The sequence below is a fragment of the Homo sapiens genome, chromosome 16 (assembly GCF_000001405.40).
Source record: "Homo sapiens chromosome 16, GRCh38.p14 Primary Assembly".
Lineage (NCBI taxonomy): Eukaryota > Metazoa > Chordata > Mammalia > Primates > Hominidae > Homo > Homo sapiens.
Window position 1 is genome coordinate 18,125,441 of NC_000016.10, and position 14,069 is coordinate 18,139,509.

At 43.1% G+C, this 14,069-nt stretch overlaps 2 annotated features.

The window, feature by feature from the left end:
- Nucleotides 1,286-1,787: an enhancer, noted in NCBI's record as "H3K4me1 hESC enhancer chr16:18220583-18221084 (GRCh37/hg19 assembly coordinates)". NCBI's record gives its function as "activates a minimal SCP1, AML or CMV promoter by ChIP-STARR-seq in naive H9 embryonic stem cells {active_cell/tissue: H9 hESC(naive)}" and the evidence as "EXISTENCE:reporter gene assay evidence [ECO:0000049][PMID:30033119]".
- Nucleotides 1,788-2,287: an enhancer, noted in NCBI's record as "H3K4me1 hESC enhancer chr16:18221085-18221584 (GRCh37/hg19 assembly coordinates)". NCBI's record gives its function as "activates a minimal SCP1, AML or CMV promoter by ChIP-STARR-seq in naive H9 embryonic stem cells {active_cell/tissue: H9 hESC(naive)}" and the evidence as "EXISTENCE:reporter gene assay evidence [ECO:0000049][PMID:30033119]".

Consider the following 14,069-nt stretch of genomic DNA (forward strand, 5'->3'; position numbering starts at 1 on the left):
CAGAAATTTCTGAAAATGACTGTTTAATGCATACCATGGGGATAATTATAACGATAATAACAATATCAACTATTTTAAGTGCTAAATATGACTAAACATTTTATAGGCATAGCTCATTTAATCCTTTTAACCACCCCAGGAAGAAGTATTATTTTTGCTCTCTTGTTTTTTGGATGGGGTAAATGAAGCACAGATCTCTCTTTCTCTCTCTCTCTCACAAACAAACACACACACACACACACACACACACACACACACACACACACACACAATGGGTTTGGGATTCAGAAAGGCACAGTTCCTAAACTGGCTCTGTCATTTATCATCTATGTGACCTGAAGGCAATTCACTTAATCTCTATTTGTTTCCTCATCTCTGGAATAAGAAAAGACTTGTTGTGGTAATTTAAAAAGACTATTTACAAAAGTATTGAACCAGGAGCAGTGGCATGCACTTGTAGTCCCAGCTACTCTGGAGGCTAAGGCAGGAGGATTGCCTGAGCCCAGGAGTTTGAATCCTGCCTGAGCAACATCATGAAACTGTCTCATAAAAAAAATAAAGTTTAAAAAAACAAAATTAAATTGACACATAGTAGGTACTCAGTGATATTGTCTCTTTCTCCAAACACTTACCCAGACCTGTATGCTTCAGGAATAGTATTAATGTCTTAAACCGGGTAACTAGTCTGCTGACTGGCTGAGATTCAGGCATGTCAGTATCGCTTGGCTCCAGCTTACCTAATAGACTAGCTCTGAGTCTGTCTCCATCCATGTCTCCCACCCACACAACTCTAGCCTCATGGATAAGGTGAGGCTCAGGGAGTGTGACCTGGGACGAGGTTAGAATGAGCATGACTGCCATGCAGTTTGCTTGATAACTTCGAAAAAGCTGAAAGCTTAGCAGTTTGGTTTTGAGGTTGTGATGCAAACGTGTAAGTGTTCGATGTGTATTTCTGTCAACCACACCTGAAAGGCCGTGTGCAACACCATGTGCCCAGGTGCGGAAGCTCAGAGACTTGACGTAGGCGGGAATTTGCCGTGATAGCATTTAAGCAGCCATCTGTTTTCCAGGAGATTCTGGAGCCACCTTCCCCATCAAGCCCCCCTTTCCCGTCCTCACGCACCCCCAGCTCCTCACTCAGGAATACATTGACATTTCCAGATGTATTGATTACAGGGGCAGACTAGCTTTGGGCGGGAGAAGGGAGAGAAATGGATTGACTTTATTATTTGTGGGTGGAAAAAAAGAATAAACAAGGGTGCTTTTGTTTGAAGGACAAAACCAAAATTATCGGTTGAATGGGGCTGAATTAAGCACTTAAAGTTCAATCCTTCCAGAGTGCTGACAGTGCACAGGCGGAGATCAATACAGAAACTATTTGGGCCGTGGGGAACCTGGGCCCTGCTTATTAACCGCTAATTATACCAAGTTTTCTGCCGAAATGGGTTAGTTCCCTTCAAGATTACGATACAACAGAACTGGTTGGCACTGTCGGACCCGGGTCTGGGATCCAACCCCTGGAGCAGGAAGTCCAAGGTTCAGGATAAACTCCCAAAGGCCTTCTATTTATGGAGCCCACTTCCCAATTTGCCACTTGCAAATCAGGGTGTAGACAGCCCACCACTTTCTTATTAGAATTTTAAAATAAGACTGCCAACGGCAAGACGGATATTTCACTAGGGCTTTCAGTACGGCCACACCAGTTGTTCAAAACAGGGACACTCTCCCACGCCAGTCGCTCAGCAACCTCCCCTGCTACCTCACATGCCCCTCACTCTCATTATCCAGGCTTAACACCTGGCCGAGCAAGGGCCTGCGGGGCCCGCTCCAGCATCCACTCTGGTGAATCTGTGCTCATGCCCTCCCGGTGCTCAAACATTTTGAGCACGACCCTGACCACAGGCAACAACTTTCCATAATCCGTTAGTCACCAGCCAGTCTACAAACCCAGATGCCTTCCCGTGGGGAGGGGGATATTGATTGTACATACACAATGTCACACACACACACACACACACACACACACACACACTATATAAATACACAACTGCATGTATATGTATGTAGTTATGTATATATACAGTTATATATAACCATATAAAATATGGAAAATTTATATTTCATATTATATTCCATTAACTATATATTAAATATGTATATATACTATATATAGTTTTATACACTTAATATTTAACGTACTAAACATTTAGGACTAAAACTAAATATGTACTATATGTATGTAACTATAGTTACATATAGTACATATTTAGTACTAAATATACTATATATACTAAGTATTTACATATCTAGTATACATAAATACTATATATACCATATATATTTATATATAATAATATATAAATATTGATATAATTACATATAATATATATTTGGCACTAAATATACTATATATGTATAGATAGTATGTGTATATATAATATATACTATATATGTGTGTATATACGATATACTATATATAATACTATATATACTATAGATACTGTATTTAGTATATACTAAATTTACTAAATATATATTCAGTATATACTAAATTTACTAAATACATATTTAGTATATTTAGTATACATAAATATTTATAGTTACATATAGTACATATTTAGTACTAAATATATACTATATTTATATATTTAGTAAATATATAAATGAACATGTACTATATGTAAACACATGTAAATATATAAATGTATATATTAAATATATAAATATATAGTTACATATAGTACATAGTATATATGTAGTTATATAGAGTATATATAGACTATAAACTATAACTATATATATATATATATGAACTATACACAGCCATCCCTCGGTATACACAGGGGACTGGTTCCAGGACCCCCAGGTGTACCAAAATCTGTGCCTACCCGAGACCTGCAGTCAACCTTGCAGAACTCAAGGACAGGAAAAGTAACCCTTCATCTACACAGGGGTTTTGAAGCAGTTCACATCTGTATTGTTCAAGAGTCAAATATAGATAGATAGATAGGTAGATAGACAGACAGATAGATAGATAGATACACACACGTATATAGATGCACACACATAGTTTATGTAAAGTTGGTGTGTTTGGGAGATATTTCCATGTTGCCACTTATCAATTTATCTTATCTTTTTAACAGCTACATGGCGCCCAGTAGTACGGATATACCATAATTTAGCCACTCCCTAGTTGATGAATATTTAGGTTATCCCACATTTTCTCTATCACAAAACATACTGCAATGAACACCTTGAACATATATTATTCTGCACATATATGAATATTTCCATAGGATGGATTCCAAGAAGTGGAATTGTTGCGTGTTTTTAATTTTGGCAGATCTTGACAAACCATTCCTACTTTCTCTCATACAAAAATGATGGTGACATGTGCCCCCATTTATCTGGATGGTTTGCAGGAATGAGCCCCCTCAAAGTGGTCTCTGGTCAACACAACGGGTCTCTGTGATGTACCCACCTGCATTTAGCAATCAGAGTTCACAGAGCACTTTCCAGTCTGCTTGGCACACATTCGTTCACAAAGAAGCTGAGGGAAGCTTCATTGCTGCTTCTAAAAAGCAGATTATTCCAGATCCCCGCAAAGCTTCCAGTCTGTTGAGCTACCTGAAAATGACAAGCAGCAACTTCCCTGCAGAGACCTGGAGTCAGAGTTTGGCCATCAATTGCCACCCAGACCTTGAAGCCACTCTGCTTGTCTCTAGGGCAATGTGAACTCCTGGCCATCATGCCTTGCTTAGGATGTCACCAAGTGTCCCCTGAAAAACAGCTGTCAGTCTGTCCCTCTAATCATAGGACCTCAAACCCAGCACAGAGAGCCAAATAGAAAGCGGATCCTATTCCATTCCCTTTATCTCCCTGTTTCCATTAAAAATAAAAGCCTCAGAGCATGCAAGCAGGCAGAGGAGAGGGAAGTATTGTCCACAGTCAAAGCATCTCGACCTCCAGATCAGTCAGCCAGAATGTCCTGCTACACAAGCATTTTTATTCGTTCCAGGATGTTCTTGAGGCAGCTTCCAAAAATGCACATAACATAACAAAATTGGAAAGTGCAATTAACAGACAAAGTGAGAAAAATGAAAAATATATATGAGACAAGATATAAAGACCCAACCTAAATGCCTACCAATGATAGACTGGATTAAAAAAAAAAAGTGTTATATATACACCATGGAATACTGTGCAGCCATTAAGAAAGAACGAGCTCACATCCTTTGTGGGGACATAGATGGAGCTGGAGACCACTGTCCTTAGCAAACTAACACAGGAACAGAAAACCAAATACTGCATGTTCTCACTTAGAAGCGGGAGCTAAACGATGAGAATACATAGAGGGGAACAACACACACTGGGGCCTATCAAAGGGTGGAGGGTGGGAGGAGGAAGACTCAGGAAAAATAACTAATGGGTACTAGGTTTAACACCTGGATGATGAAATAATCTGAACGACAAACCCCCATGACACAAGTTTACCTATGGAACAAACCTTCACATGTACTCCTGAACTAAAAATAAAAGTTAAAAACAAAAAAAGAAGAAGAAGAAAGAAAGAAAGACCGAGGAGAAAGAAACCTATATGAGGCATTAAGCTCTGCACAATTTTTAGGCATTTGGACTCCAACAACAGCAACAAAAAAAGGCGGATAGAGGGTTCGGGAGATGGAATTACATTTAGTGTCTATATCTACAATGTGCATGAAAATAATTCCCACATTTTGACTTTAATCACAGAGGCTGGGCATGGTGGCTTACGCCTGTAATCCCAACACTTTGGGAGGCTGAGGTGGGTGAATCACCTGAGGTCAGGAGTTTGAGACCAGCCTGACCAACATGATGAAACCCTGTCTCTACTAAATTTAAAAAAATTAGCCAGGCATGGTGGTGCATGCCTGTAATCCCAGCTACTTGGGAGACTGTGGCAGGAGAATCGCTTGAACCTGGGAAGCAGAGGTTGCAGTGAGCTGAGATCGCACCACTGCACTCCAGCCTGGGCAACAAGAGTGAGACTCTGTCTTAAAAAAAAAAAAAAAAAAAAAAATCACAGAGTGGAAAATAGGAAATAAAGATGGCACAACTTTCAATTTCTCAGAATGGGTCTGTTTCTCATTTGAACAGCATAAAATCCAGCCAGGCCTCCTCTCCAACCAGCAGGCCAAGACTCTTCCAAACTGACCTGACACCCCGCCATACCCAATCTTGGCACCCCACCCACTTCCCCCTCCTCAGGGTGCTGCCCAAACCAGACAAAAAGCAGGCGCCAAGATGCTCCCACAGGACTAAGGCTCATAGTGACCTTCTTAAAAAAAACAAAAACAAAAAAACTTAGTTGGCAACTGTTAAACATTGGGAAATTGTACATAAAAAATCCTGATCTCTCACTTTTTAAAAAAACAAGTGGAAAAGAAAAATAGGCAACATAACATCTCCCCATAGCTGGAGCTGGGGCCGCCTTGGAGGAGAAAAGGTACCTCCCATTTTGTGCACTCAGCCCACTTTCCTGACTCATGCCCATGCAAACCCCAGCTAGGCAACAAATACTTATATTTTTTGATTATTATTTTTTTTTAGTAGAAACGGGGTTTCGCCATATTAGCCAGGCTGATCTCGAACTCCTCGCCTCAAACCATCCTCCCACGTAGGCTTCCAAAAGTGCTGGGATGACAGGCGTGAGCCACCACCCCTGGCCTAACTTTTCAATTTTTTTAACAGAGAGAAAACTTAACGGGGTGAGTAAAATGGCACCAAAAGACCTGAACTTGGACCCATGACTTGGCCGTCCATTTTCTGAATCCACCAAATGAGGGGTCCGACACTGAATGACGATTCTTTGCACCTCTGACAATGTTCTTTCTTTTGACTGACGGAGGTCCCACTTTCCAGGGTAGGGGATTTTGCTGGTATCTACGAACCATGCCAACTTGGCTTAAACGGTCAAGAAAGAGGGGGGTCTCCATAATGGGGCCATTTCACTCTAATTTCTTCTTGAAATGCTTACCCGACTGGTCCCCTCCCTCGCCCCTTACCTATCCCTTTCCTCTCTAGGGTTTTGCTAGGATGTTAGCCGGATGTAAGGTACACGGACGAACTGCAAGCTTAGAGGTAGTGATTGGCTTTGCAAGCAGAAACAAAAACAAAACAATGACCAAAAAAAAAACCCCGCAAAACCAACAAAATAAAACAAAGCACCTCTTCCTTTGTTTAAAATACATTTTGCGTTAAACCAGTAGCCTACCAAAGGCAGCCTGGAGCCTTAAGTGTGTTCTGGAAGCTGAGCCTTGAGCGCCATCTGGGAGCAGAGGGCGGCACTGCAGCCTCCCGCCCTGGAGCTTCGCCTCCAGGTCCTTGCAGACTTTCCCCTTCATGATCCATCTCTTCTCCTGTTGCCCCAAGGTCTCAGAAGAGGGGATGTGCTACAATGGGGAGTTATGGGTTTTGCAATCAGACCCTGACACTTCACTGGCTGTGGGGTCTTGGGCAATTCATTGCCTTTCTGCAACATGAGGACAATCACACCCACCTTACTGGGAGACTGGAAGATTAAAAAAGAAAAATGACATAAACGGGCTTATAGCATGCAGTCAGCAAACTTATCCCCTTCCGTCACAGTGCCATAACTCAGTCTACAGACGAGTAACTCGGGGAGGGGGTTTGTTTGGCTCATCTGTAAAACAGGGCTGCTGGAAGCCGACATTGCATAACCCATATGTACAACAACTGGCACACAGTGAGTGCTCAGCTGTTAATAAAGGGAAGGAAAAGAAACTGTAAATCTGGCTCTGTTATAGGTCCTGAGGTTAAGCAAATAGAGAGACAGTTATAAAGATAAGTAAGACAAGAGAGCCAAATGTAAATAATAATATCAGGTAATTAATTAGATGTATGAACAAAGTTCAAATCAGTGTAGCTTCCAGGCTATATCAATTACCTCGCTTAAGCCCTCTACGCCCTTTACAACACAGGACTGTCACCCCTGCCCAGTTTACGGGCCAGCCAAGGAGGGTTCAGAAACAGCAGGGAATGTCCTTTGGGCTTACGCTGTTTGTGACCCTGCTTCTTCTCGGATCCTAGTCCATCTTCATCTTTTTTTTCCCAAAATGGTTTTCTCATTTCTGCCACTGAAGTTGAACAAATTCAACATCTGATTTTTCCTTTCCCTGTCTCCCCTCTGCCCACACCCTCCCCCAGTACTTCATCCTCCTGAGGTCGGCTCGATCCCAACTTCATGTCTGTCCCATCCAGCCCTCTTCAATTCCACTCTCCTCTCTCCAGTTATGACCCCTGGATGCCTGAAGAAGCCTTCTAACTGTGCTCTCCACTGTCCAGCTCTGCTCCCTCCAATCTGCCCTGCATGAGCCCCTGAGGGATCTCACCCTTTCAGCAGGTCCACCTACAAGTATAACCCCTCTAGGTGACATACCTTCCTTCGGGAAGCTTCTCCCAACAACCACTGACCCACAAGAATCTCTGCTTTCCTCAAACACAAGTAGACTTCGCAACTCTGCCTACCTGTTAGAATAACCTGAAGAAGCTTCATACCACACTGTTCACCAACAAGCACACAAAAAGATGCTCGATGTCATTAGCCATCAGGGAAATGCAAATTCAATCAACAATGAGAGACCACTCCACACCCACAAGGATAGCTATAATTAAAAAGATGAACAACGACAAGTATTGATGAAAATATGGAGAAATTGGAACCTTATAATACCGCTGGTAGAAATGTAAAATGGTACAGTCACTTGGGAAACAAGGCTGGCAGTTAGTTCCTCAAAGGGTTAAACAGAGTTATCATATGACCCAGCAACTCCACTCCTAGGTATATATATGTAAGAGAATTGATAGTTTCTGTATCCACACAAAAAACTTATATACAAATGTTCATAATAGCAGTATTCATGGATATCCAAAAAGTGGAAACCACCGAAGTGTCCATCAACTGATGAATGGATGAACAAAATGTGGTCTAGGAATGACGTGCTGATCCACACTGCAACACAGATGGGTCTTTAAAAGCTATGTAAGTGAAAGAAGCCAGTCACAAAGAACCATATGTTATTTCAATCCATTTATATGAAATGTCCAGACTAGGCAAATCCATAGACACGTAAAGTAGATTAATGGTTGCCAGGGGTTGGGGGAGGGGAAATGGGAGGAAATGGGGAGTTTCTGGTAGTGACTACAGGGTTTCTTTTCGAGGAAATGAAAATGTTCGGACTGTAGGCTGAGTGTGGTGGCTCATGCCTGTAATCTCAGCACTTTGGGAGGCTTAGGTGGGAGGGTCACTTGAGCTCAGGAGTTCAAGACCAGCCTGGGCAATGTAGCTAGATCCCATTTCTACAAACAAAATTTTTTTTAATTAGCTGGGTGTGATGGTGCATGCCTGTGGTCCCAACTACTCAGGAGGCTGAGGCAGGAGGATCCTTTGAGCCTAGGAATTTGAAGCGGCAGTGAGCCATGATCTCATCACTGCACTCCAGCCTGGGTGACAATGTGAGACCCTGTCTCTAAAAAATAAAAAAAGTCGATTGTGGTGATGGTTGCACAATTCTGTGAATATACGACAAACTATTAAATTGTGTACTTTAAATGGGTGAATTGTATGGAATGTGAATTATGTATCTGAATAAAACTTATATTTTTAAAAAAATAAACCTCCCATTCCAATCACTTCCTCATTGTTCAATATGGCTTCATATATTTCTTCATAAATAAATATACTGATTTAATACGTGTTTATTCGCTTATTGTCTACCACAACAGTAAAGGTAATTTCAATGAGAGCAGAGCCTATGGCGCATTCACTTCTATATTCCCAGTGCTTTGAGCATGGCACAAAAGGCTACTAAATAAGTAAGTGCCAGTGTGTGAATATATGAGTACCTGTAAGAATCAGCAAAAATAAAATACTGTTTCCAGGGCCCCAGCCCCAGAGATTCAGACGCAATTGATCTGAGGGAGAGCCTGACAAAGGTCTGGCTCAAGACTTCTTGAGTGATACCATTGTACAAACCAAGACGAAGAGCCCTGATCCACAGCAGTTGTCATCTATAACCCTAACCCTGTGTCACCCCTGCAGATGAGGCTTCAGTAGCTCACCATTACCTCTACAGACATTCTAAATTCAAGTTAAATAACGCAGATGAAGGACTCAGGTGAGTCTGGGACTTTCTGTATCAGAATCGTCACAGATGCCTCAAAAAATCAGATTCCCGGACCCCGTTGGAGACATTCAGATCCTTGCAGACCCCTGCCAGGGAATTAATGAGTTCAGGTTCATTCCACATGCAGATTCTCGGGACTCCCTCCAGGAAATTAAATTGAGATTCCCGGATTTAACCCCCTGGAAGGGGTCCCAAGAATTCACGTGTTGAACAAGTGTCTTTTCTCAGACATGCTGAAGGTAGGGATCTACAGAGTCACATTCATGCAAGGTCTGTGGCACAAGACCTGGCTCTGCCTGCATCTCTGGCTTCATCTCTCAACATTCATGCCCCCACCCTGTGCAGGTCCACCAACCCCGGCTACTCCACGTAACAGAAATGGCCTTTCCCTACTCCTTCTCTTGGCTTCTGCAACCAGCCTCCCAACCTTCACTCAGGTATCAAAGTGGCAAGCTTTTCTGGGTTCCGTGTCTATTCTGAGCTCCCAAGCCTCCTACAGTTGCACTTAACCAGGGATGATTGTGCTTTTCAAGGGACATGTGGCAATTCTGGGGATTTTAATTGTCATATTGGGGGGGTCACTACTGCCACCTACTGGGTAGAGGCTAGGAATGCTTAAACATCCTACAATGCGCAAGACAGCCCCCACCGCCCCCAACAAGAACTATCTGGCCCAAAATATCAGTGTAACTGAACTTGAAAAACTCTGCTATAGTCTATTGTCATGTGAGTTCCTCGAAGGCAGGGAATGTGTAACACTCACCTGCATAACCTCAGATACCACATACAGAGCCTGACACACAGTATTTGGTAAATACTAGTGGAATGAATTATCCGTACCTTGCATCTGGCATTCAGGTGTGTTCATTTCTGCCCTATTTTATTCCAGAAAAGACGTGTAGATACTTAAAAAAACTTACTCAATGCAACAGGATAAAATCAGTGAAGGTATCGTAGAAGCAGCAGCTATGATGAAGCTATAGGTGGGTTGAGAGCAGTTATTAGGATTATTTTTATAGCCACAAGGTAGAGATAAGCTGAAATTTGACTCTGGGCTTCTGGTTGGCATCCATGCAATAAAAATGTCCCAGTTGCTCAAGGGAAGCACAGCTCTCTCTAAAGTTGAGAGGTGTGGGGCACTGGGCCATAGTGAGAGTGAAGTGGACAACCCTTTCTTTCTTTTTTTTTGTTTTTTTTTTCTTTTTGAGATGGAGTCTCACTCTCTTGCCCAGGCTGGAGTGCAGTGGCGCAATCTCGGCTCACTGCAACCTCCACCTCCCTGGTTCAAGTGATTCTCCTGCCTCAGCCTCCCAAGTAGCTGGGACCACAGGCGTGTGCCACCACGCCCAGCTAATTTTTATATTTTTAGTAGAGAAGGGGTTTCACCATGTTGGTCAGGCTAGTCTTGAACTCCTGAGCTCAAATGATCCACCCGCCTCAGCTTCCCAAAGTGCTGGGATTACAGGCATGAACCACCACACCCATCTGGACAACCCTTTCAACAGCACCAATACACCAGGAGTCTTTCACAACTAGTTGTTATAACTTCCTCTGAGTTCTTTTCCTCTTCCAGAACTCATTCTCTTTCTCTTTCCCATGTAATTTGATAGTTTCTTTCTATCTCTTAAGTTTGAGCTTGGCCACATGACTTGTTTTGGTGAATGAAATGATGATAGACATGATACAAGTAGGAGCTTTAGATGTGTTTGTGCAGCTGGATGTGAATTCCTGAATCTCTCCCATCACCATGAGAAGAGCATGCCCTGGCTAGCCCTCTGGTTCAAAGAAGGTAAAAAAATACCTGGAGTCAAGCTCATTCAACTTAACCCACAGACCTGTAGCCTACAGCAGAACCACACAGCTGAGCCCAGCCTAGCTCAGCACACCCCCTGCTGACCTGCAGTTGCATAAGCAAGCCCAGCTGGGTTCAGCCACCCCCCAGTCGCAGATGCATGAGCTAAATATATGTTCACTGTTGCATGCCACAGAGTTTGGGGAAGATTCACTATGCCCCATTATTGACAATGGGTAACCAAAATATCTCCCAATAGCAAGTTAAAGAATTACGCCAAAGCGTGGCTAAATAAATAAATGAAAGCAATCTTTTGGGGGGCTAAGATAGACCAAATTATTCCATGTTACTTAAGATTCCTCCCAAACTAAGTAGTAACTCCTTGGTGATAGATCATATTCTTCCACCAAGTGACCACCACTGAGCTGGGCACATAAGAATGCTTGATGCCAATGTGTCAATCAGTATTTGATTGGGAATATAGCCAACCCATTTCAAGAGAAATGCTGTGAACTAAAGTCAAAATGTTGGCAACACTGAACAATCAATCGACTGAATTGGACAGTCAATAGATTCAGATGCTCTAAATGCCTTCCATTATATCAGATCTGCCAAAGGTCCAAAAACCAATGATGCAGTGGCAAATTTCCTGGTCTCATCTCCCACGCAGCATCCACTCTCCCCCAGATGGTTGAGTTCTTTCTGGTCATCTTAGATCCCTCCAGAATGGATTTTTTTTACCTCTCATGCTTGCGCAAGGCTCAACTTCAATTCGAAGAAAGCCTTCCCATACTTCCTTTTATGAAATTACAAGCCTGGGATCCCTACCTTGTCTGCTCAGAAATAAAACAGACTCAGCCCCATCTACACTTGAGTTAGAGTTGAGAGTTGCATACTCTCAACTCCTCATGTGGCTGAGTTGCTAAAGGTGTTGTATTAGTTCTTGCACTGCTATGAAGAAATATCTGAAGCTGGGAAATTTACAAAGAAAAGAGGTTTAATAGGCTCACGATTCCGCAGGCTGTACAGGAAGCATGGCTGGGGAGGTCTCAGGAAACTTACAATCATGGCAGAAGGCAGAGGAGAAGCAGGCATGTCTTACATCACCAGAGCAGAAGGAAGAGAGAGAAGAGGAAGGTGCTACACACTTTTAAACAACCAGATCTCATGAGAACTCACTCACTATCACAAGAACAGCAAGGGAGAAATCTGCCCCCATGATCCAATCACCTCCCACCTGGCCCCTTTTTCAACACTGGGAATTACAATTCGACATGAGATTTAGGCAGGGACACAAATCCAAACCATGTCAGGAGTGAACCATGGAGTCAAGCAGTCCTGGTTTCTATCACAGCTCTGCCACTTATATGCTGTGTGACCTTGGGAAAGCACTTAGCCTCTCTGAGCCTCGGTTGTTCTAACTATACAATGGACATAATATTTACCTACTTTAAGACTGTTCTTAGGACTGAGAAAGGTAAGGTCTATAAAGTACTTAGCACAGCCCCTGACACGTAGTTGGTGCTTAATTAATGCTCTTATCACTTGATTTTGAATTCAGAGAGTAGACCCATCACAGCAGAGCTACAGTGGGGTGGAAAGGGGAGGTAACGGAGGTAACAGGACCCACTATGAGCACCTACTGTGTGCTAGCAGCTGTGCTAAGCACTTTAAATACACTCTCTCATTTAATCCTCACCACCACCTACTTTGTCACCATTGCTTCTATAACAGGACATCAAGTAGGAATTCTCCAGTTGTTCTGGATCAATGACTACAGCAGACAGTTGGTACCTAGCTCAGGGTGAGAGATCCCCAAGAGAAATTGCTCCAAAAGAGGGTGATCACACATCCCCAGTTTGCCCTGCATGATCCCAATTTATACCTGTTGTCTTAACATATCTATTAATAACTTCTCATTCCCTTTCATACTCAGAACAGTCCAAATCTGAGCAACAAATTATATGGTCACCTGTCATGGTCACCAGCCAATTATATGGTCACCTGCCATGGAGCCATGGGGGCTGATTGCAAGAAGGAGGGGCTAGCATCTCTATCCCTGAGCTGCAGAGCCATGAGCCCCTCTAGTGCGATCATCTGAGTAAGATGGAGTGAGGACACTCTTGGAAAAGCTGACTCTAAGCAAAGCTTAATGTAGGAAAAGGACAGGGGCAGGCATCTCCCTCTCATTCCCTGTGCCCTAAGAGTGCGTCACAGATGCCTGTGATTTCATGGTAGAAGACGAAGCCAGAGATATAGATGAGAGGCTATCCAAGGAGCCACTAAGTGAGGGGCTTGGAGCCACAGATGATTGAAAGGGGCCAAAGGGAGGCAAGGCTGGCCTTCCCCTAAGGGTCTCAGTGACAGATGGGGCACATATGACATTGAAACCAAGCACACGATCTACACCAGAACCATCTCATTTGCAAAGGTTTTGAGCAGCAAAACCAGTGTTACACAGAACAAGATCAGAAATGCCACCCATAACTACGACCTTGCCAAGTTAAGTAGAAATAAGCCTAAACTCCCCGACCCACTTTCCTCCCCATCTCCACACACAAAGAGAGGAATGGGAGATGCATAAAGAGCTAAACATGCCCTTCGCACGCGCCTCTTCAGGTCCCTGCCATGGGGAAGAGAGATAACGTTTGTTTGTTTGTTTGTTTGTTTTTTAGATGCAGTTTCATTCTTTTTGCCCAGGCTGGAGTGCAATGGCCCGATCTTGGCTCACTGCAACCTCTGCCTCCTAGGTTCAAGTGATTCTCCTGCCTCAGCCTCCCAAGTAGCTGGGATTACAGGTGCCCGCCACCACGCCCAGCTAATTTTGTATTTTTAGTAGAGACGGGGTTTCACTATGTTGGCCAGGCTGGTCTTGAACTCCTGACCTCAGATGATCTGCCTGCCTCAGCCTCCCAAAATGCTGGAATTACAAGCATGAGCCACCGCATCTGGCCAGAAGAGAACTTTTCATTGGATCTGAAATTGGAGATTTAAGTCAGACTGAACTAAGTTTTTTAATAGCTGAAAGTGGCCAGAAAGTTAAGGGACCTAGCACCCACTGGGGTAGAAAGACTGAACATACAACTGATAAT